This window comes from Homo sapiens, chromosome 20 (genome assembly GCF_000001405.40).
Source record: "Homo sapiens chromosome 20, GRCh38.p14 Primary Assembly".
Classification (NCBI taxonomy): domain Eukaryota; kingdom Metazoa; phylum Chordata; class Mammalia; order Primates; family Hominidae; genus Homo; species Homo sapiens.
Genome location: NC_000020.11, coordinates 41,560,536 through 41,582,362, shown reverse-complemented (window position 1 = coordinate 41,582,362; position 21,827 = coordinate 41,560,536). Strand labels below are relative to the sequence as shown.

The 21,827-nt window shown below is 39.7% G+C and overlaps 1 protein-coding gene across 7 annotated transcripts in view, besides 1 other annotated feature; it reads left to right on the top strand.

Moving 5' to 3' along the window:
* The window catches only part of CHD6 (chromodomain helicase DNA binding protein 6), a 216,295-nt gene that overhangs the window by 36,015 nt on the left and 158,453 nt on the right, over positions 1-21,827 (top strand). The window contains exons 2-3 of one of the 7 annotated variants that reach the window (XM_047440546.1): positions 18,212-18,352; positions 21,720-21,827. The exons of 2 other annotated variants lie outside the window; for them this stretch is intronic. The gene's annotated coding sequence lies outside the window, so the exon portion shown is untranslated. 4 more of the 7 variants (XM_047440545.1, XM_047440548.1, XM_047440547.1 and 1 more) reach the window with 4 other exon arrangements.
* Positions 14,923-15,117: a silencer, noted in NCBI's record as "fragment chr20:40195885-40196079 (GRCh37/hg19 assembly coordinates)". NCBI's record gives its function as "represses an EF-1alpha promoter that drives an FKBP-Casp9 reporter gene in an ReSE screen in K562 erythroleukemia cells {active_cell/tissue: K562}" and the evidence as "EXISTENCE:reporter gene assay evidence [ECO:0000049][PMID:32094911]".

Sequence of the window (21,827 nt, the reverse complement as noted above, 5' to 3'; positions counted from 1 at the left end):
AAGATTTATGTTATCAAGAATTTCCCCTTGGAATTGCCTACTCCTTTATTTCTACTCACCGTGTCCGAAACTCTTCCTTAGTTATATCAGCTCTTGCATCAAATGACATTTGTTAGCAGATTTGTCTTTCTCATGAGACTGATTTCTTAAAAGCAGGTAGTGTTTTGTTAGTATTTGGATATGTAGATTCTTTAACTACATTTTAGGTGTAGGTTTTTTTTTTAAGTAATTGAATTGAGTTGAGATTATTTAATGATTTTTAGTCCTTAGAAACCCACACTGCCCCTCCCACCAACAGTTTTTGGGAAGATTGTCTCTGTGTTTCCACAGTCAACTGTGATGTATCTTAAAAATGCACTCAAGTAAGAAGTGAGGGCTGGCCATGGATGAATTTGTGAGGAAGTTGCTTTTATACAGAGAAGACATACATTTTCTCTCCTAGTTATCCATGTATGTTTTGTGTCCCTACCTTGACAATAAGGTTTTGAGGGAATAGCTGTCTTCTGCTTCTCCAGTATTCCCTTTACTACTAGCACAATGCTGGCTATACAGCAGATGCTCATTAAATATTTCTTCACAGGATTTAATGTGACTAATGGATTTTAGAAGAAGGTACTAGTAGATTTACTTTTTCAGTTTGCTCCTTGAAAACTTCAAGTGGTGATAATGGTGATTTTTTTTTTTTTTTGAGATGGAGTCTCGCTCTGTCGTCAGGCTGGAGTACAGTGGCATGATCTCGGCTCACTGCAGCCTCCGCCTCCCTGAGTTCAAGCAATTCTCCTGCCTCAGCCTCCTGAGTAGCTGGGACTATAGGCACGCACCACCACACCCAGCTAATTTTTGTATTTTTAGTAGAGACAGGGTTTCACCATGTTGGCCAGGATGGTCTCGATCTCTTGACCTTGTGAACCGCCTACCTCGGCATCCCAGAGTGCTGGGATTACAGGTGTGAGCCACCGTGGTCAGCTGATAATGGTGATATTATTTCATTATGGCAGGCCTATCATGTGCAGCTAAGAATGTGGACTCAGCAACCAGACTGCCTGGATTTGAATCCTAGCTTAGCTACTTATTAGATCTGTTATCTTTGGCAAGTTACTTGACCGTCTTGTGCTTCAATGTCCTCATCTATACAATGGGAACAATAATAGTACCGTACCTATCTCATGGGATGATTATGATGATTAAGACAAAATGCAGTAAATGTTAGCTGCTGCATTCTACCTTAATTATTAACAGTGAATATTAGACAAATCCAATTTTAAGTTCTTAGAAGATAAGTTCTTTGAGTAGAAGGACTTTAACAGTGGAAAGCCATCTATCAGTGTGGATAAATATAACTACTACTTCTGTATTAATTAAGGAAGTAACCACCTTTGCTTGGAATATTAACAGCAGAAAGGGAGCAGAGCTGATTAATTTCAACTTTGCTAGCAATAATGTTGTCTCTTCTGTCTTACCTTAGGAACAATCTGCCCTATTCCTAGGGGAATAAGATCAATAGAGAAATAAATTTCCCAGATTAGCTTTCACTACAACCAAATGTACTTCATTTTATAGCTTATTTTGAATTGTATGTTAAAACTATATTCATTCTTACCTAAAGGTAAGACATCATTTATTGTTGTTTTTATAGTGTCTCCTTTTTACCATTATTGGCCAAAACATGTTCAATAGATGTATTTTTTGTTGTCTTTTCCTTTTTTTTTTTTTTTTTGAGACTGGGTTTCACTGTGTCACCCAGGCATAATCACGTCTCATTGCAACTTTGACCTCCCAGGCTTATGTAATCCTCCTGTCTCAGCCTTCCAAGTAGCTGGGACCACAGGCATGCACCACTACACCTGGGTTCTCTAATTTTTTATTTTTTTTTAGAGATGGGGCGTCCTTATGTTGCCCAGTATGGTCTTGATCTTCTGGGCTCAAGCCATCCTCAGCCTCCCTAAGTGCTAGGATTACAGGGGTGAGCCAATCAAGAGATGTGTAAAGCAAAGAAGGGAGTCACAGAAAGGTGAGTTTAGCCTGGTAAGACATATTTGGCAGACAGCTGTTGGGAAAATATTGTTAAGGTACAATATTTTGGATTCACTATTTTCTTTACCCAACAAGAAAGGATACAAAGGACAGTTACAGAGCAAAACATAAACACTCTTTGCATAGCTTTGGTGCCTGTATTGCCTGCTGAACCCCTTTATCAAAATAGTAGTTTATAGCATTCGAACAGTGCCATCTTCTATACATGTAGTAGACTGCTGTTTTCTTAAGTTTTGAAAGGAAATTGGTGATACACTTGACCTATGAATCTATGATATAGTCAGTTAATGTTTTAACTACACTGATACCAAGTATGAGGTGATAATAGCCTGACCTAAGTTGGGAATAGTGGAAATGGAGAAGAGATTGCTGTAAATGTACTTTAAAAAGCAAAACAAAACAAAAACCCAATTTTTTTCTTTTATTGTACTAAAGATTATTTCTTTGATTGTATAAAAATATATGAGTGTTGGAAAAGCTTGAAAAGTAGAAAGAGGCAAGCTGTTGAACTCTTAGAAATATATATATCATGTTTAAAAACATGTTTTAGTGGTCAGTTTCTTTGAATAATTTTCCTAAGGGTAAGGAGGTTGGAAAAGTTCAGTTTGGTATCAAGACATCTTGTTTATACTTTGATAATAGATTTTCATTGCTTAGTGGAAAGCACACCTCCATAGGAATGTGCAGAGAATTTCTGCTGACAAGGAGGTATGCTTAAAACATCTCACGTATAGTCTTTAGAGACCACTAGTATCAGATGTTTTTGTGTTTTACAGATGTAGGCCTTCTGCAGTTTTTCATGCCTCATGGACGGTGGCCAGACTTAGGACTGGTTATGAGTTCCTGTCTCTTGTTTCTTTTAGCCTTTTAAGATTTTTTTTTTTTTTTTTTGAGACAGAGTCTCACTCTGTCGCCCAGGCAGGAGTACAGTGTTGTGATCTTGGCTTACTGCAACCTCTACCTCCTGGGCTCAAGCACCTCTCCTGCCTCAGCCTCCTCAGTAGCTGGGATTACAGGCGTGAGCCACCACGCCCAGCTAATTTTTGTATTTTTAGTAGAGATGGGGTTTCCCGCCACTGTTGGTCGGGCTGGTCTCGAACTCCTGACCTCGTGATCAGCCCACCTCGGCGTCCCAAAGTGCTGGGATTACAGGCGTGAGTCACCACACCTGGCACTTTTTTTTTTTTTTTTTTTTTTTTGAGATGGAGTCTCGTTCTGTTGCCCAGGCTGGAGTGCAGTGGTACAATCTTGGCTCACTGCAACCTCTGCCACCCGGGTTCCAGCGATTCTCCTGCCTCAGCCTCCCGAGTAGCTGGGATCACAGGCACATGCCACCACACCCAGCTAATTTTTATATTTTTAGTAGAGATGGGGTTTCACCATGTTAGCCAGGCTGGTCTCGAACTCCTGACCTCAGGTGATCCACCTGCCTTGGCCTCCCAAAGTAGATTTTTTTTTTTTCTTTCTAATGGGGGCCTTGCTATGTTGTCTAGGTTGATATCCAGCTCCTGGGCTCAAGTGATCCTCCCACCTCAGCCTCCAAGTAGCTGGGATTACAGGTGTGCATCTCTGCACCCAGCAAGAAATTTTTTTTTATTATAGAAAATTTCTTTCTTTCTTTCTTTTTTTTTTTTTTGAGACGGAGTCTCACTTTGTCACTCTGTTGCCCGGGCTGTAGTGGAGTGTGGTGGTGCGATCTCGGCTCACTGCGACCTCCACCTCCTGGGTTTAAGTGATTTTCCCACCTCAGCCTCCCGAGTAGCTGGGATTATAGGCGCCTGCCCCTACGCCCAGCTAATTGGTTTGAACTTAACATTCCTTGGTGATTGTTACCTAAATAATTATTTCACTATTGCTACATTGTAAGAAGAGCAAACTTTCATCTTGTTAATAAGTAACACGGAAATTTTTTATTAAAAAACTTTTTTAAAAAACTGTGAGGAAATTCATTTATTCGCTATACACCATATCTTTTTATGTGATTATGCCTTGTAAAAGAGGTATCATTGTGATAAGAATGTTTAAAAGTTGTAGTTTGCTAAATTAAGTGCTCCTCTATTTGTTTTTGAATGTGTTATTTTTAAACAGTTTTATGGTAACAGATTTTGATCTAGAGTCGTGTTTCTGCATTATGCATTTGTGGTTTCTGGCTACATTGGGGGCGTGGGGGGCTTGCTCCTTCAATAAAGGAAAATAAAATTCTAAAGTTTATTTGGTTGAGGAGTATGAATCATGGTGAAGACTGAAATCCATATAGGTCATTTATTCTCACTGCTGTTATCACGTATTTTTTCTATAACCTAGGATGGCTGTTGTTTAAATATCAATATTTAACCTCATGTAGTGTTTTCTATGTGCCAGACACTGTACTTTGTAATTTGCATCTACTAATTTATTTAATCCTTATATGATTGTCATGTTTTGTAGATGGGAAAACTTGAGTTAAGGAGGTTAAGTGATTTGCTCTGGCTGTGTGGCTAACAACTAGCAAGGGCTAAGATGTGAACCCAGACAGTTGATTATAGAATTTGTACTCCAAGAGAGGGAGAGAATGGATTGTCTAGTGTCTCTATTACTAGAAAAATAACTGAAGTGTACTGACCCACTAGCCTTGGAAGATAATCTGTTTATTCAACATACAATAATCTACACATATATTTGTTTTGTTTATTGTGTTTGCTACACATATATTTATTTTGTTTACACATATGTGTAGTGTGTGTAGACACACACACACTACATGTCCACGTAAAGGAGCAAATGTTTAGCGCTTTCCCTTTGGAAAGTCCTTCTTAATGTATAACCTTTTTTTGAATCTTTTTACTTGACCTTAGAGCAGAAATAGCCCCCAGATTCTATAGGAGAATCTTTGAGGTCAGAGTAGATGGAAAAATCAAGAGAAACGTAGCAGACAGCTTGAGGTCACAGATTCACACAGGATACCACTCTGACCTTTGGACTCTATTTGCACTGAAGTTAAAGCTGCTTGTTACAAAGCGGCCACCCAGATAAATCTTAGCTATATATTTTCAGGCTATTTTTGGAGCAGAAAGCCAAATAGCTGGTATCCAATACCAAAGAAACAATTTTTCAAATTCTCCAAATCATGATAAATAGCGGCCACAAGTCTCTGTAGAACCAAGCCAGGAGATACTATAGAGACTCTCTCGTTCTAAGTTTATTTCTGCTGTCTCTTTGCTTAGTGATTTTTTGTTGTTGTTGAAGTAATGTATCTTATATTTTAACAAATTCTTAAATAATTCTCTTTCCTTCCTTTTCTGTCCCTCATTCTGTTTTTACTTTAGCATGTGTATTTATTCTACCAAATGTTAGTTCAGATGGGAGTTGTAGATAATTTGAGCAGGCATGTTTTTCACAAAAAAGTTAACCACCTTTCTCTTTCTCTGTTTTTATGTTTGGATGGTCCTTCTTTTGTGTTGGTCTGATAAGAGGTTAATCTGTGTGGGTGAGAACATGACTACATCCTCAAGAATCTGAACATTGTAATAACAATCTGATGGTTTGAATAGTTGGATGTTATTGATAGGGATAAAATGGAAAAAGATGAGGGAGCGTCCTCAGGTCTGGTGCTGACTGAGGTGTACTCATCTTGTGTGTTTGAGTCTGTGTTTGAAGTTTCTTTTTTTGCTGGGGGGAGACAGAGTCTTGCTCTGTCGCCCAGGCTGGAGTGCAGTGGTGCGATCTCAGCTCACTGCAACCTCTGCCTCCTGGGTTCAAGTGATTCTTGTGCCTCAGCCTGGGACTACAGGTGCATGCCACCACGCCCAGCTAATTTTTGTATTTTAGTAGAGGCAGGGTTTCACCATGTTGGCCAGGCTGGTCTCGAACTCCTGACCTCAGGTGATCTGCCCGCCTTGGCCTCCCAAAGTACCTGGATTACACATGTGAGCCACCACGCCTGGCCTGTGTTTGAAGTTTCAGGTGGCCTGTGCCAGTGGTAAAACTTAACAGTAAAGGCCTCAAGGGATTGATTCGCTACATATATAGTGGGGATGAGCTTAAAGACAACGTATTTCTTACTTTTACTTATTCTGTTTACAAATTCAAATATTGATGCTGTATATTATTTTGGTAATTATTATTACAGGGCTAATTTTCTTCATGTACAGAGAATTTCTTCAAGTACCTAACATGTTTTGGTAAAGATGTTTGTGTCTTCCTGCAAAAACATTTCCTGAATCATTTTCCTGACTTCTGTGCAGCTTTTCCTTTTTAGTAAATTTTGCTTGAAGAAAAAAAAAGAATTAATTTTTCCTCTATATTAAAAGAAGCTTTCTTTTTCATCTAGAGAATAAATAACTCAGTAAATAGAGATGATATTACTGTTTCTTCAAAATAATTCATTTCCCAAAGTTTTTTTTCATGGTATGTAGTTTTAGGGAATGAGTCATAGAATTATGGGATTTTATGGCATAGCATCTTTAGAAAAGGATTTTTTTTATTTTGGCTTCACTTTATAGTTGAAAAAGAGTTGATTCTTTAGTTTCATTAATGACTGTCCTGTATATCTTCTCATGTTGGTTGTTGAGTGAGGTGACCAGCTCCTCGGAGGGACAAACCATACAATGAAAGGGAGAAATTTGAGAAATGATTGGATTTGGTGTAGTGGAAATTCAAGATGAATATTATGTTGGACATATTAGCACAATTCTGGGTGCGTTAATGGTGTTTTTTGTTTTTTGTTTTTCTGTTGGGGTCGGTTCCAGTGTGGGGCTGAACTGTCCTCTGGAAGGTTGACTTCTCATGTCTGGTCTGTGTGAGTGGATGGGCCCTCCTTTGGCACCAGTCTCTTAAGTATGCAGTTGCAGCCAGTTGGTATTCACTTGGTATTTATGACATGAACCATAGCAGGTGCATATGTGAAGAAAGCTTGAGGTTTCTTTTCACAAAGTTATTGATGTTTGTATAAATATATATTTTTACTGGCCATCTTATTGTTACCGGTAGAGGGTGTCCAGGTTCTTGGTGTTTTGAACAAAGAATTGAACAAAATGTACAAAGCAAGGAAAGAATTGAACAAAATGTACAAACAAAGCAAGGAAAGAATGAAACAACAAAAGCAGAGATTTATTGAAAACGAAAGTACACTCCACAGGGTGGAAGCAGGCTGAGCATAGGGGCTCAAGGGACCTGTTACAAAACTTTCTGGGGTTTAAATACCCTCCAGAGGTTTCCCATTGATTACTTGATGTACACGCTATGTAAATGAAGTAGTGGCCTGCAATCAGAGGCTGAAGTGAAGTTACAAAGGTCACATTCCTATGCAAACACCTGATTGATTGGGGAAAGCAACCAATCAGAGGCTAAAGTGAAGTTACAAAGTTACACTCCTAGTCAAATGTCTGATCGGTTTTCCCTGGGCCACATGGAAAAGGAGGGGGCTTTGCAAAGGGTGTAGCCTTCGATCCTTTTGTTTGTATGGAAAGTTGGGGTTTTCCTTTGGCTTTAGCTGTAGGCGTGAATCGGCCTTAGGTTCCCTGCCTCAGGTTCCCTGCCTCCAGACCCTATTTTCCTACCTCATTATAAACTCTTTTTCTTGGTTCTCATGGTTTTGAAGTTATTTCTTAAGGGCTTACAAGATAAAACAGCCACATCATATATAAATAAGAATTTTGTGTTTTTCTTTCCAGTTTATATTACCTCATAATCGTTCTGCATATTCTTTAGACTCACTGATAGCTGGCATTTTTGTCTTGGTCCCAACTTGTTAACAGGAGTGCCTTTAGTATTTCATCATAAGGTTTGACTTGATTTTGATGAATATTTGTGAGGGTTCATACTACTTTAACCTGATAAAGTACCTTAGTTCAGCTTTGACTTTGTAAATTAAGGAGTATACAGAACATGGAAGGTTCAGGAGAGAGCAGAAAATGTATGAGTGACTAAATAATACCCAAGTAGAGGAGCTAGGAACCTGGTATATTTATCCCAGAGAAGAAAAAACTAGGGGATGATTTCATTATCTCCAAGTATAGGTAGGACCCATGCTGGCATTTTGGAGCTCCCACGTCATCTTTGAGAATGAAAAAACAGTTCACTTTTTTCCCTTGGTAAACTTTTTATTGAACAATAACATACAAAGAAGTACATAAAATTTACATTTTAGATGGTTTGCCTCTCCCTCTCCCCACCCCCTGTCCCTCTCTTCCTTCCTCCCCCACCCCCACTTCCCTTCCCTCTTCCTCTTTCCCTTTTCAGTGTAGTGATAGCTAAAAATAACATTTGCTTGCCTGAGGGCATTGCCGACCTGCATTTAGGAGAAAGTTAGATCCACTATTTATCTGAACATTGAGTGATGGGTCCTTGCTTTTACCCATGTGCTTATAAGGATCAGGAATCCACTCTTGCCCTTTTCCCTGTGGTCTCTAAAGGCCCAGAGCTGGGAGTTTGTTTGTTGGATCTGGGGGCTGCAGTAGCCCTTACCTGAATTGATTTCTCTAGAGCTGCCTTATGGTCAGAGACCCCTCCCGTGGTGAAATGTAGAGTGAACTACCCATGTTTTCTCTGTCTTCACTTCCAGTCCTTGCTTACTTTATGAAATAGATTGTCAAACTTTCATTGATATTATACAGTCTCTTAACTCGCATGGCTCTTAGGTTTTTAAAGCTTAGGTCTTGATGTTTGTTTTTGTTTTTTTCTTTTTGCATTGTTCTCCAGTTACTTGTGTGCTAGTGTTACCTTCCTTACTAGATCATAGGTCTTAACCCTCTTTCTTGGGTCACAGATATTTGTATCACTTACTCCTAATTTGGAACTTTCAGAATTTAGCCCTTCTTTGTCACTTGGTCTGGATGTTTACATGGTTTAATCACAATAATCTGCAATATTGTTTTCCCAGTTAGGGTTGTTGTGTAACATAATACATGGAGGCTAAAAATCATGGAATTTGAGAATTTAGGTTGCATAAAATGGGTAGTTCCAATGTCAAGATCTTCATTCATTCATCAGATAGTTACAGAGCACCTTCTGTGTGCCAGGCACTATACTAGGTAATGAAAGGTAGTGGCGAGTATGACACTGCCTCAAACTTCATAGAATTTAGAAGAGTTTAGTGAAATGTCCTTAATCTGTTCTAGATTGGTGGTAGTAGAATGGTCTTGGCCTGGTGCAGTGGCTCATGTCTGTAATCCCAGCACTTTGGGAGGCCGAGGCGGGTGGATCACGAGGTCAGGAAATCGAGACCATCCTGGCTAACATGGTGAAACCCCATCTCTACTAAAAATACAAAAAATTAGCTGGGCGTGGTGGCGGGCGACTGTAGTCCCAGCTACTCGGGAGGCTGAGGCAGGAGAATGACGTGAACCCGTGAGGCAGAGCTTGCAGTGAGCCGAGATCGTGCCACTGCACTCCAGCCTGGGCGACAGAGCAAGACTCAGTCTAAAAAAAAAAAGGGTCTTGAGCTTTAGAATTATACTGTCCCAAGTACAGATCTAAGCTCTCCTAGTTATTAAAGTTGAATAACTTCAGATAATTATTTATACTCTGAATGGGATAAGAGGACCTTTTTCCCAGGGTTAGGGTTCAGATTTAATTGGTAAAGGTGTGGTTGTAGCCCATTGGGTGGCAGAGGAGTTCCCTGCTTGCCTGGGCCAGAGTTAATACACAGTTGCTGGGCAAGCAAGAAACCAAACCTGATGGGTAGGCATGCAGAAGGGAGTTGGGTGCCGCTGTGGCTACAAGGTGCAGAGGCATGCAGAGTCCGCATTGGGAAGGCCCTGTTAAACAACGCTTTGGGTTCCAGATGAGCCAGGCCTGGTAGCTGGGCATGCAGAGGGAAGTGGTACATGGCATCCTTTTTAGGAGGGCTGCAGGAAACAACTCTCTGGGATACAAGCCAGCAGAGGCCATCAGGAGGCTATTGTGTGTGTGAGGCCTGGAGTCCCTGCTGTCCGTGTCTACAGGAGCACAGGAAGGTGGTCACCAGGCCTGGTGTCACTGAGGGACCATGTGCTTTGTGCTTTGTGCATGTGGTAGGCAGAACACTACCATATGTCCCCACATACTTACACTAGACCTTGGAGCAAGAGCAAGAACAGCAAAAGCACAGCGCTTTTGAACCCAAAAGACAAGCTCCCTTCTTCCTGCGTTGTCCCTCCAGCTGCCTCTGCTGACCAGGTTTAGCATCATGTGCTCTGTAAAGGAGGAATTCTGGAGAGTCCAGTCCATTATTACAGAGCTAGTACTGAAGGGTGAGTTTGGAGTTAAGAGGCAATAAATTGATAACTGGCACAGAAGCCAAATATAAGAGTATTGACTAAATAATAGCTAAGTACAAGAACACAGATTACATAATTCCACTTTTATAAGGCACAGGACAGGTAAAACTAATCTACATTGTTAGAAGTCAGGCTAGTGGTTACTTTTGGGGAAAAGCAGTATTGAAAGGAGTATGGATTTGTAGTGCTAATGTTCTGTTTCTGGATGGGGATGCTGGTTACACAGCTGTGTGCAGTTTGTGAAGAGCTGTGCTTTCTATTATAATGTCTATTATATTTCATTAAAATTTAAAATATGGTGTAACCTGATTCAAAAAGTAAAAGCTTTAAAACAAGATCCAGTCTAGAATAGAGGAAATATAATCCAGGGTATCTCATCCTTTTTTTTTTAATGTTTAAAAACCATATGAAGGTTGTCTAACTTAATGTCTAAAAATAGATATCTAATTCATTCAACAAAAATACTAATGGCCAAGGAGTTTGAGACCAGCCTGGCCAACATGATGAAACCCGTTTCTACTAAAAATATAAAAATTGGCCAGGTGTGTTGGCGGCACCTGTAGTCCCAGCTACTCGGAAGGCTGAGGCAGGAGAATCACTTGAACCGGGAGGTGGAGGGTGCAGTGAGCTGAGATCGTGCCATTGCAGTCCAGCATGGGCAACAGAGCAAGACTCTGTCTAAAAAAAAAAAAAAAAAAAAAATTAATGGCCAGACTTCCTTTCTTTTGGTATCAAATTGGTAACTCTGAAGCCGTCAGTAGAGCAACTTACACTTCTTCATTTTGCTGTCATTCTTCTTACCAAGACTTTAAGCAGCAACTTCTAAGCTTTTTTATGGCCTCACAGATACCTCTTTGTTCTTGGTCTAAATAAAATATCACTGCTGTCTTCTGTAAGCGTTGTCTTTGCTTTTATCTTTGTCATGATATATCCTTCTCACAGCTGACAAATCACCAGACCTTCTTTTTCTTCACTAAGAGATTTGGAATCCCACTGTAACTCCCATATAGGAGTTAATGATAACAACAACTGTAGACTTGTTTGGGAACTGGTGGTGATAGGAGAGACTCAGTGTGTAGCTTTTAAAAGCTTCAAGCAGAAGCAGCTCAGTACTGTTATTTGTTCAGGAGTAGGTAACTCTGAGAGCAGAAGCTAAGGAATCTACCAAGTTAGCAGTTGAATCTGGATCCAAGGGATGGATATGGAATCTAGAAAGAGTTCATGTTCACAGAAAACAGAGGTTGTTAAGAAACTCTGGCATTACACTGTGAACAGAATTTAGGGTGAATTTCAAAGTGGAGCCAGCTGCTTAAAGCTCAGTTGTTAAAGTGAGTCACATTAGTCTAATTCCACTTTTGTGGACAGAGCTTGATATCTCCCAGTATACAGCATATGAGGTTGTTTTGTGCTTTCAATAGCTGGTGGTATTCTTGTACATAGAGAGGATTTGGCCAGGGCAAGAGTTACTGCAAACATATCACAGAAGGCTGAGAATCTAGAATGACTGCCTTGTAAAAATTGTTTCCTTATAATCTTTAACCCTTAAGTCATTTGGGGGTGAAGGAAGAAAACAGCATAAGTGGTGAAATTAGCCAGTGGGCCCCTCATATATAAATTCATTCCACCTACTTGCCCAACTAGTATATGTGTACTGTACTTACATTATTGGTCTGTCCTAGATACTGAGTTCACAAAGGTGAATCTGGGCAGTTCCTTGGCCCTCTGAGTGTTATTATTTTATATTCCTCTCTTTGAGGGCTGCCTGCATCACTTGTCTGTGATACCCAGCTTTGCACCAACTCCTTGAGGATTTTGATGAGCCTTTAAGAATTGATACTTGGGTTTCATATTCAACCTAATGAGAGTTCACTGACTTTTAATTTATTTCATTTTATTATTAGTCTGGGCTTGTACTGCCACCAGTAAAGACTGTCATTTTCAAATTTAACATCTTGAGAAAAGGTGCCTATGATTGAAGATATGAGTCTCATTCTGCACATGTATTCTAGAGTGGCAGTTTGGAAATTTGTTGTACTCCAAACTGGTCATCTGTATCTAGAAAAACCTTAAATCATGCCATTGGAGCTGGTTCTCAGTGCTTGGACTGATGATGGAAGGGAACATTGGAACAGGTAACATAAATACAGTAGTCCCTCAGTGTCCATGGGGGATTGGTTCCAGGACACCCATCCCATGCCAAAATTTGAGGTTGCTCCAGTTCCTTATTTAAAATGGCATAGTAATTGCCTATAACCTACTCACATCCTCCCATATACTTTAAATCATCTCTGATACAGTATAAATGCTATATGTAAATAGTTGTTGTACTGTATTTTAAAAAGTTGTATTTTTATATTTTTAAAAATTTTATATTTTAATTGCCTTATTGTTATTAAATATTTTTGATCTTTAATTCTGAGGATGTGGAGGGCTGACTGTATATGCAGGAGGTGATACATGGTAAGAAGTTAAGTTTATGTTATAAAATGGTTACTTTTTGATCTGGATATTGGTACTGTTTACCAAGAAACAAACAGGCTTTATTCTGTGATTCTTGTGCTCATTCTGGGCATGAATTCTGTCATCTCTCAGACCAGTCCCCCTAAAGTAGTGCCCCATGCCAATCTGAAAACTTCACTTTTAGGCAAACAACTAGTTTTATTTAGGTATTAGAAGTTAGTAGTGGTTTGCTAATATAGTATGAGTTTAAAGTAGGTGACCAAGTCTGTACCAATTTGTAGGCAAATTAAATGAATCACATATGGTGTAGATGGTGTTAACAGATTTTTGTGGATGGGCTTAAGTTGGCCTAAAGTGGCCTCCTAAATATTCTGCTTATTGCCTGCAGTTTCTGCTTTTAGTGTACTACAACCAGATTGGGAGAACCAGGACATTTTTTGTTTGGCAGGAGGATCCTATTGCTAGCCACCTGCCTCATCATTCACCCAGAGCTTTCTGTTTGCTTTTGCAAGGAGAACTTTTTCCATACCTCTTGGTCACCTCATGCCATGTCCTGCTCTATGTATTTTCCCCAACAGACTAGTTTTGTGTTTACCTCAGTACTCCCTCCCTCTTAGGCTTCTAGGAAGGAGGAATTGGAAGTGGGAGGGGATTAAGAACTGATACTCATCTTTGAAAAATCCAGAGTTTGAAAAACATTCTCAATTTATATTAAACAAAAATTCTCAGACCCTAAGGAAAGTGCAGGAGGTGCCAGAGTTGAACAGCTCTTAGGAGGCAGAAATGACTGTGGAAGCCATCAGGGTGCAGCATCCTTCTTGGTTTGCAAAGGTAATTTGATGTAGGATGTGGAAGTAGGTTTTAGCATTTCATCCATAAAACCTGAATGGAAGGAATTTGTGTCAGATTCAGAATCCATTATGTGTCTTCTCTTTAAACAAAGGGAAAAAAACACTTTGGAAAAATATTGGGTTTTTAAAAATTTTACTTTAATACAGCAGAGTTATAGGAGGAAGCCCATCTTTTTATTGCTAGGAATTCCACAGGTTTGGTTGAGGAGCTGTTTTCCAATTATAGATTGACTTGCCACTTGGGCCAACTCTTCTGTTTTCTGTAGATTGAAGAGTGCTGAGCCTGGGCAACCATAAATATGTGGTTTTTCTTTTATTAATTATCTCAAAGTACAAACTTTTCTCTGCTAAGTATTGTCTGTTATAATTTTGTTAATGTGTTTACTTTGTTTCCCTGCCATCTTGGATAGCTATCAGATAAACTTTGTTCCTTACCATAAATTGATCCAAAACAATTTTGTTTAACAATTCAGAATTCAAATGGAGGGCTATATGAATGTAGATAAAGAATTTAAACAGAATTATGTACGGTTATATCCCTCAAGATTTTATCTGTGTTTAATTATATGAGTTATTTGTTTGAAATATTTTGTTTCCTTGTATCAAGTAATATTATCTGAAGTATCTATCTATCTTGTCTAAAATGTGCTTATATGGTCCTTTTAAATGATAGTTTTATCAAGCTATTTTAATTGCTTTCTGTGTACTTCACCCTTGGATTGAAACCATCCTCTGCTACAGCCTTGCTTTTTTACTTTTATTCTTTTTTCTCTTTACATATTTTCTCAGAATATTTTGGATTTTTAGCCATGTAGAGTATGATTTTCAGTGTTTGTCTCCATCCAGTCACTCATGCTGTAGACATCTGTGTAGTTACAGGGAGAGGTTTAGGAGCCTGCAAGCCCGCCTCATAGCAGCCTTGTGTTCCTTCAGGGAGTGCCAGTCAATCTTCCTGGGTTGGAGTCCACATCCAGCAAGGTCATTTTGTCTGTGGCCTGGATGGGGCTTATTGAGCCCTGTGAACATAAAATTAGCTCCTTGGCATGCTGGTAAGCAGCAGAACTGAGCAGAGCCCAGGCACGTTAAGAGTTTCACATGGGAAGAGCATTTGACTTCTCTCTTCCTGTGTTTTGGGAGGGCCTGGTACCAAATGCTCACCCCCTTTTTTTTTTTCATCAGTACCTGAACCACAAGCCACCATGGACGTGCACACTGATACCTACTTGGGGATCAGGAGAGTGTACATGACAACAGCAAGGGAAGCAGCAGCACAGGAGACAGGCAAGACCACCACTACCTTTGCTGGAACTACACAACCAAGGAGCCATGCTTAAGTCTCCCCCAGGGTGGTGGTCTCCCTTTCCAAAAACTTAACAGCTGTCCCTGAGCCTGTTCCTGGGGTACACAATCATAAACAGTGTGTGTATGCCTGCCCCAAGTGGCCAGTGATGGTCATCAGGCTAGACACAGTGACCGAAGAGCTGTAGCTTGACCCTTGATAAGGGGGACTTAAGTGCTTACTGGTTAAGGCACTGTGTTGTTACCACTTTACAGGCAGGAGCCTCAGAGAACACCTGCCACACATAGGCCAGACCTGATGGCGCATCACACCAGGGTACAGTCAATTAACAACAGAGTCTTATCTTGGGGACAAGTGCCTTTTAGGGTGGGAAGAGATGACAACATCCAACAAAGACAGTTAAGAGCTGTGTAGGCCATAGTGCAAGCCCAGCAGCAACTGGTGATTCTGTCCCATGTGGCCTTCACCATATAATGGAACTAGTTAGTTAGCTAAGAGAAATAAGTTGAAACTAACCAGGTGTCCTTGGTCACGGTTGGGCCCTCTTGTTCATGATGCTATTTGCTTTAGTTACCTCCTATTCACCCCATTTGTGTGAGATTCCTGACACAGGATTATAGGGATGACCAAGCACAGTACACCTAACACTGGGCAGATGAGATCAGCAGCAGTTTATTGTTCACGTACACTCATAGCCTGCGGGAGGAGACACCACACACCACCCAGGGCCACACAGGGATTGTACTTGGGAAAAGGGTGAACATCCAGGGTCTATGGGAGGCAGGCTTTGTAGTACCAAGAGGACGGGGTGACCCCTGGTTCCCATGGGAGGATGTGATTGACTTGCATGAGTAATTCTACAGGCTGGCAAGAAATGGAAATCCTCTACTTGGGCATAAGAAGGAACTGCACATGGTCCCCTCAGTAAGGATGGAGGTTTGGTTAGGGGACCTTATCCACAGGAGCAGAGTGGGGAAGGGAACTTGGGGATAGACCATTGGAGGTCTTTCCAGTTTCAGATACCAAGGCAGCACATAATATTGGGCCTGAATTTTAGGCTTTACACCACACAAACCATTGTGTGGGACTTTGGAGACTTTTTTCCATTCCCCCCAAAAGCTAGTAGTTATCCCTTCCCTCACTATCTCACTGCCCCTTCATTTTTCCCCCTACCTACTCTCTAATAAGTACTAGAAAATGCAATCTGTCAGGGAGAGTACATGGCATAGTGATTTCATGGTTGAGTTTCTGCTCGGATGTTTTTCCAGAGTAGAGGTCCTCCAACCTGGCTGCCTATTAGAGTCATCTGAGAGAGTTTAGAAAATTATGTGGGGTGTCACCTCAGACCAGTTAAATTGGAATCTTTTGGAGATGGGAGTGAATTTTTTTTTAATGTGCTTCAGCCATTATTGAGAACTGCTTCTCATGGATGTCAGCAGAGTCACCATGTCTAAAACCAAATGCGTTGTCTTACTCCATGGAGCCAGCTCTTCCTGTTGACTGTTTTTCCCTCTTAATGGTACTAATATCATCTTCCCAGTCTCCCAGGCTAGAAAAGTTAGAATTCTCTTTGTACTTGTTCTCCCACTTTCCATAGAATGATATTTATCATTGGTCAGCCTTTGTTAATTTCATTTCATCTTTACTGCTGCACTTCTAGACTGTTGTATTTGTAGAATACCTTTCCAACCTCTGCCCACTCTCTGAGCGCCCCAAATAGAACATTTCCAGTCCTGATCTCTCACTTTATTATTTTCATTTGTCTGCAAGGCAGCTTGATGTAGTACTAAGAGAGCCGAATTGGAATCCAGGAAATCTAATTATTGTACTTCGGAGTCAATGTGAAGCTTTGGGCAGATCATTTGACAGCTCTAACCCTAAGTTTCATTATCTTAAGATAAAAGGATTACATTGCCTGAGCCTTGGATTCTTTCTCACTGTGACTCAGTCTTCACTTTTCCTTCAAATTTAGCCTGTCTGTAATAGAACTTATCCATCTACTCTCCCAAAAGTTACCTCTTTCTCGTGCCCTGATGCCTCTTGCCAATACCAGCATTCTAGCATCTTAGGCCACTTAAAAAGAATCCAGCTGGGCGCGGTGGCTCACGCCTGTAATCCCAGCACTTTGGGAGGCCGAGGCGGGTGGATCATGAGGTCAGGAGTTCAAGAGCAGCCTGGCCAACATGATGAAAACCCGTCTCTATTAAAAATACAAAAATTAGCCGGGTGTGGTGGCAGGCACCTGTAATCCCAGCTACTCGGGAGGCTGAGGCAGAGAATTGCTTGAATCTAGGAGGCAGAGGTTGCAGTGAGCTGAGATCGCGCCACTGCACTCCAGCCTGGGTGACAATAGTGAATCTCTATCTCAAAAAAAAAAAAAAAATCCATTATCTTCATTTTCTTGGACTCCATGACTTCTCTTCTGTTTTATTTGCTAGCCTGCTGTTTACTGTTACTTCTACCTGGGTATGACTCACTGGTCTTCTTGGACCCCAAGCCTGCCCTACCTATTCCTACCTGATGAATCTTTACATCAAACAAACTTTGATAATTTTTGTCCTTTTCTCAGAAATCTTCAATTAATGGCTCCCCATTACATAGAAGATTCAATTCAAACTGCCTAGCCAGGCATTTTGAGAGCCTCTCTCCATCACTTATCTCCAGCCCCAAACTTCACCTGCCTTTGCTGATTCCTCTTCACCTATTGGTCACCCATTATACATGTTGGGTGTTTAGAAAACAATTTTTTAATTGAATTACTCATTAACTTTGGATTAACATAGCCTTTAAGTAAGATTTTTAAAAATTTTATTAACTTTTTTCACACGGAAAAATGTCCGCTTTCTGGTGAGGAATTCTTTGAGTTTCAGCAAATGCATACCGTTGTGTAATGAACATCACAATCAAGATATAGAACAGTTTCATTATCCCCTAAAATTCTCTTTATAGTTGACCCTCTCCTGTCCCCAACCCCAACCACTGGTATGTTTTTTGTTCCTACAATTTTACCTTTTCTTGAATGTCATATAAATGAAATCATACAGTATATAGACTTTTCAATTTGTCCTCTTTCACTCAGCATAATGCATTTGAGATTCATCCATGTTGTGTGTATAAGTAGTTTGTTCTTTTTTATAACTCTGTTTTTAAAATACCCCCAAGAGGGAGTTTACATTGGGAGTTGTGAGTTTTTTGTGTCTTATATGCTGTTTTGGAAAACGGGAAGAGAAAATGTCATCTAGATCATTTTTAGCGCCCCAAAACATGTTTAAGCTATTTTGTAGATGGCTTCTCATTTCAATGTTAACAGAGTAACTTTTTGTTTTTAGCCCATGTGTCAGTCTCATATGATTGGCTTTTGTACCAGTTCTGTAAATGAAGAAACTGAGACCCAGGGAGATCAAATAAGTTGCCCAAATCCCACAACGCTTGTGTTCAGAACCCAGATATCTTCACTCCCAAGTCTACAGGTACTGCTGTTCTACCACAAAAGACATTAAAATGTAATGAGTGAAAAGTTCTTGTGTTACTGGTGAGACCTCTTGAAACTGAATATATAGAGTGTTGTTTGTAAAACCCTTTGTCTTCCCCCATAAGATTATGACTTGAATTTTCAGGGCTCTGAAGCTTGAATGGGCTTGGCTGTCAAGAAATTGGTTTATTCAGTCCTGTGTTCACAGCTGTGTTCATTCCTGATCTGGGTCAATTGACATTATGACATAGGGACCAACAACAACAAAAAAGTACAGTCAGATTTTACCTTACAATGTGATATATGATAGCTCTAGAAGGGTCTGGCCACTTGCTTCTACTGTTCTTCTTAATAGTAATTATTATCAAGCTAATTGATTTTTATGAGCAGATTAGGATTTAGAAATGATTTTTTTCTGACCAAGGAAGATGAACTGGAGTTGGTATTTCTCCTCTTGAATTGTGCGAATGTGCCTCACTCATCACTGAAATCAAAGAGTTTGGCCATGTGACCTCAGAGATCCCATTCAGTTCTGATTGTGCGAATGTGGCATTGTTTGAGGTATTTCTGGACTATAGAAAGCTTCCTTAGTTTATACCTTTATATCATCTCAGGTAAAACAGGTTATAGGAATTATAGCAACATAGGATACTGCTTCAAGTTAATAGTAATTACTTTGAATAGCCAGAGGAGAGTCATTCAGTGAGTAAAAGCCTTGTTATTCAGCAGCTGGCCCACAGGAAGGTTCTCAGAATGGGCTTTCCTAATACTCTTGGTTCAGTAGTGAGAGTTTCTTAGGAGGTTGTTGTCACTTCTACTACTGGCTTTTGCCATCTCCTCACAGACAAGGATTAAAATCACTACTGTTGATTTGCCTTTTGGCTTATATTACCCACATGCAGGGTAACAGAGCTTTTACTCTAAAATTAATTCGTTGAATGTTTAAAACACTTCTTTTGAGGAGTAGAGTCTTAATGTTAATGATGGTAATGCATCCTTTCAGACCGGCCAAGCACAGAGCTTCCTCAGTTTGGAAGTGATGACAGTACTAGTGCCTTCTCACAAGTAATATTTGGCAGATATTTTAAGTTAGGTGTTCACATTTTTGGAGAGATGGATTTTTAGTCCAAGCTTTACAGCTGTGTGTAAGATCTTTCTCTTTTGACCCACTATTGATAAGTCCATATATGCTATTAGTATATTTACTAATTTATCAAATACTATGCTAATATTAGTTAGACAATAGTCAAAATAGATACGGTCCCTGTCCTCATGGCCCTCTTTTAATCTTACAGATAAGGATATTTTTTGACATGTCGTCTTGAGTTTAAGGTGATAGGTTTTCTCTAGCCTGTAGTAGAGAACATCAGAAATTTACCTATACAGACTTTCTTTTGCCTGACTTATACACAAAAGATAATTTTTCACCGAAGTTGATCTAATTTACAAATTGCCGTATGTTTCAAAGAAAACTTTTGGGCATCTAAAAGAATTCATAATACAAAAAAAAAAAATCAAACCCTCAGTATATTTTGGTGCTCTGGCACCTTTAAGGCAAAAATATTCTCAGCCAGAGCTTGAATATATGAGAAATCCTTAAAACTGTTACAGAAGCCTTTCCTCATGCTAGTTTGAGTATTCTGGTTGTGCAGAAATGTTTCCACTAGACCACAGGGTCATCTTTGAAAGAAAAGAGTAACCATTTGTCATTTGAATGCCCTTCCATTATTGGTTAGTTGACATGAGTTTAGGAGACTATAAAAATAAAATATCAGAGCACACTCAAAAAAGAATTATTGAATGTTAAAAACATATTAGCTATAAAGAAAAAAGAAGGCTTGAAAGAGAAAGTTGAGGAAACTTCTCAGAAAGTAGAACATGAAGAGTTTTTTTTTTGTTTTGTTGTAAATGAGACAGAAAATTAGAGGTACAGCCAAGAAGGTCCATCATTCAAATAGTAACATGAGTTCCATTAAAAGAAAACAATAGGGAGGGAATTATGAAGAAATAATACCAGAGGAATTCTCAAAACTGAAAAATCTGACAGTTTCCAGATTGAGAAAGAATCCACCAGGTACCTAACCTCATGGGTGAAAATAGCCCCAAGGCACATCATTTTGAAAAGATGATTCTAAAAGCTTTCCAAAAAGGAAGAGATGTCACATACAAATGGGCAGAAATCAGAATTGTTCAGATTCTTCAAAATAAGTGGTGGAAGGAATAGAACAATGGAGTAGTGCTCTCAAAATTCCAAGGAGAAATTGACCTCCAGCCTGTGATTTGCAACCCACCAGTCCATCCAGATAGAATAGAAACATTTTCAGACATGAAGGTCTTAAAAACTTACATCTCATTTTTAGGATTTTCTAGAGCATTACTAGATGTTGTGCTTCACTAAAATGAGAGTGTAAACCTAGAGAGGAGAAACCTAGGAGTCCACCATGGAGAGAGACTGAGGGAGTGAGTCTCTGGGAGGATGGTGAGGAGAAGTCCCAGGAGGCAGATTAGAGACAATGATGAAGGACTCCTGATGGAGGACTCTACCTATAATGACCCAAGAGAAGAACATTGAGCTTAGATTGAAAGGAGTTTCAAGGTTTTAGAGGAGCATTTTAGGAGAAGTTAGTGATTCATAGAAAACCATGCAAATTTTTAAATGAGGTAGTTATTATCTTCAGGGAAAAAAATGACACAAAGTTTCAGCAAAGTATAGTTCATGGCTTAGCTGTGAATTAAATGTTGATTTAATAAATAAGGGTGATAATAACTATATTGGGAAGATAACACTTCATCTTCTATAGTAGGAGGACTTCCTGTTTTTGAAAAAAAGTTTTATTGGAACACAGCCATACCCATTTGTTTGCATATTTGTCTATGGCTGTTTTCACATCACAGCAGAATTGAGTAGTTGCAACTGAGACCATATGGCCTACAAAGCCTAAAATATTTATTATCTGGCCTTTTTATAAAAATACTTGCTGACTCCTGTTCCATAGGAAGAAGCCAATAAAATAATGCCTAAAATCGAAAAGAAAATCTAATAGCAGTAATAACCATGTTATTTAAAATAGAATGGAAAGGAGCAGAAGGAACAGCTGAAGTTTAAATGACTGCCTCTGGGAATAGTGAATCAGGAGTGGGGAGTAGAATCGGGGACTGTTTTTTTTTTTATTTGTTTTAGGCTTTATATTTCTATTGAATTCTTAAGCTAAGTACATGTATTTGAAAAGGTGTGAAGGAAGAATACTGAGAAATTTGATTGGATTAGGAGGAAAAAAAAAAGAGGTCACTAGTTACATTGAAAGTAGTTCAAAGCCTTTTCAGTAAACACAGCTTTCCCATTAATTCACTTACTCATTCCACAGGTAATCACTGAAGAGTCCAAATGTCAGGCACTGAGTGCTACACTGCAGGACAGGGTCCCTCCCTGGAGGGTGCTTGGGCCCTCCACAGCTAATGGCATGCACAGACAG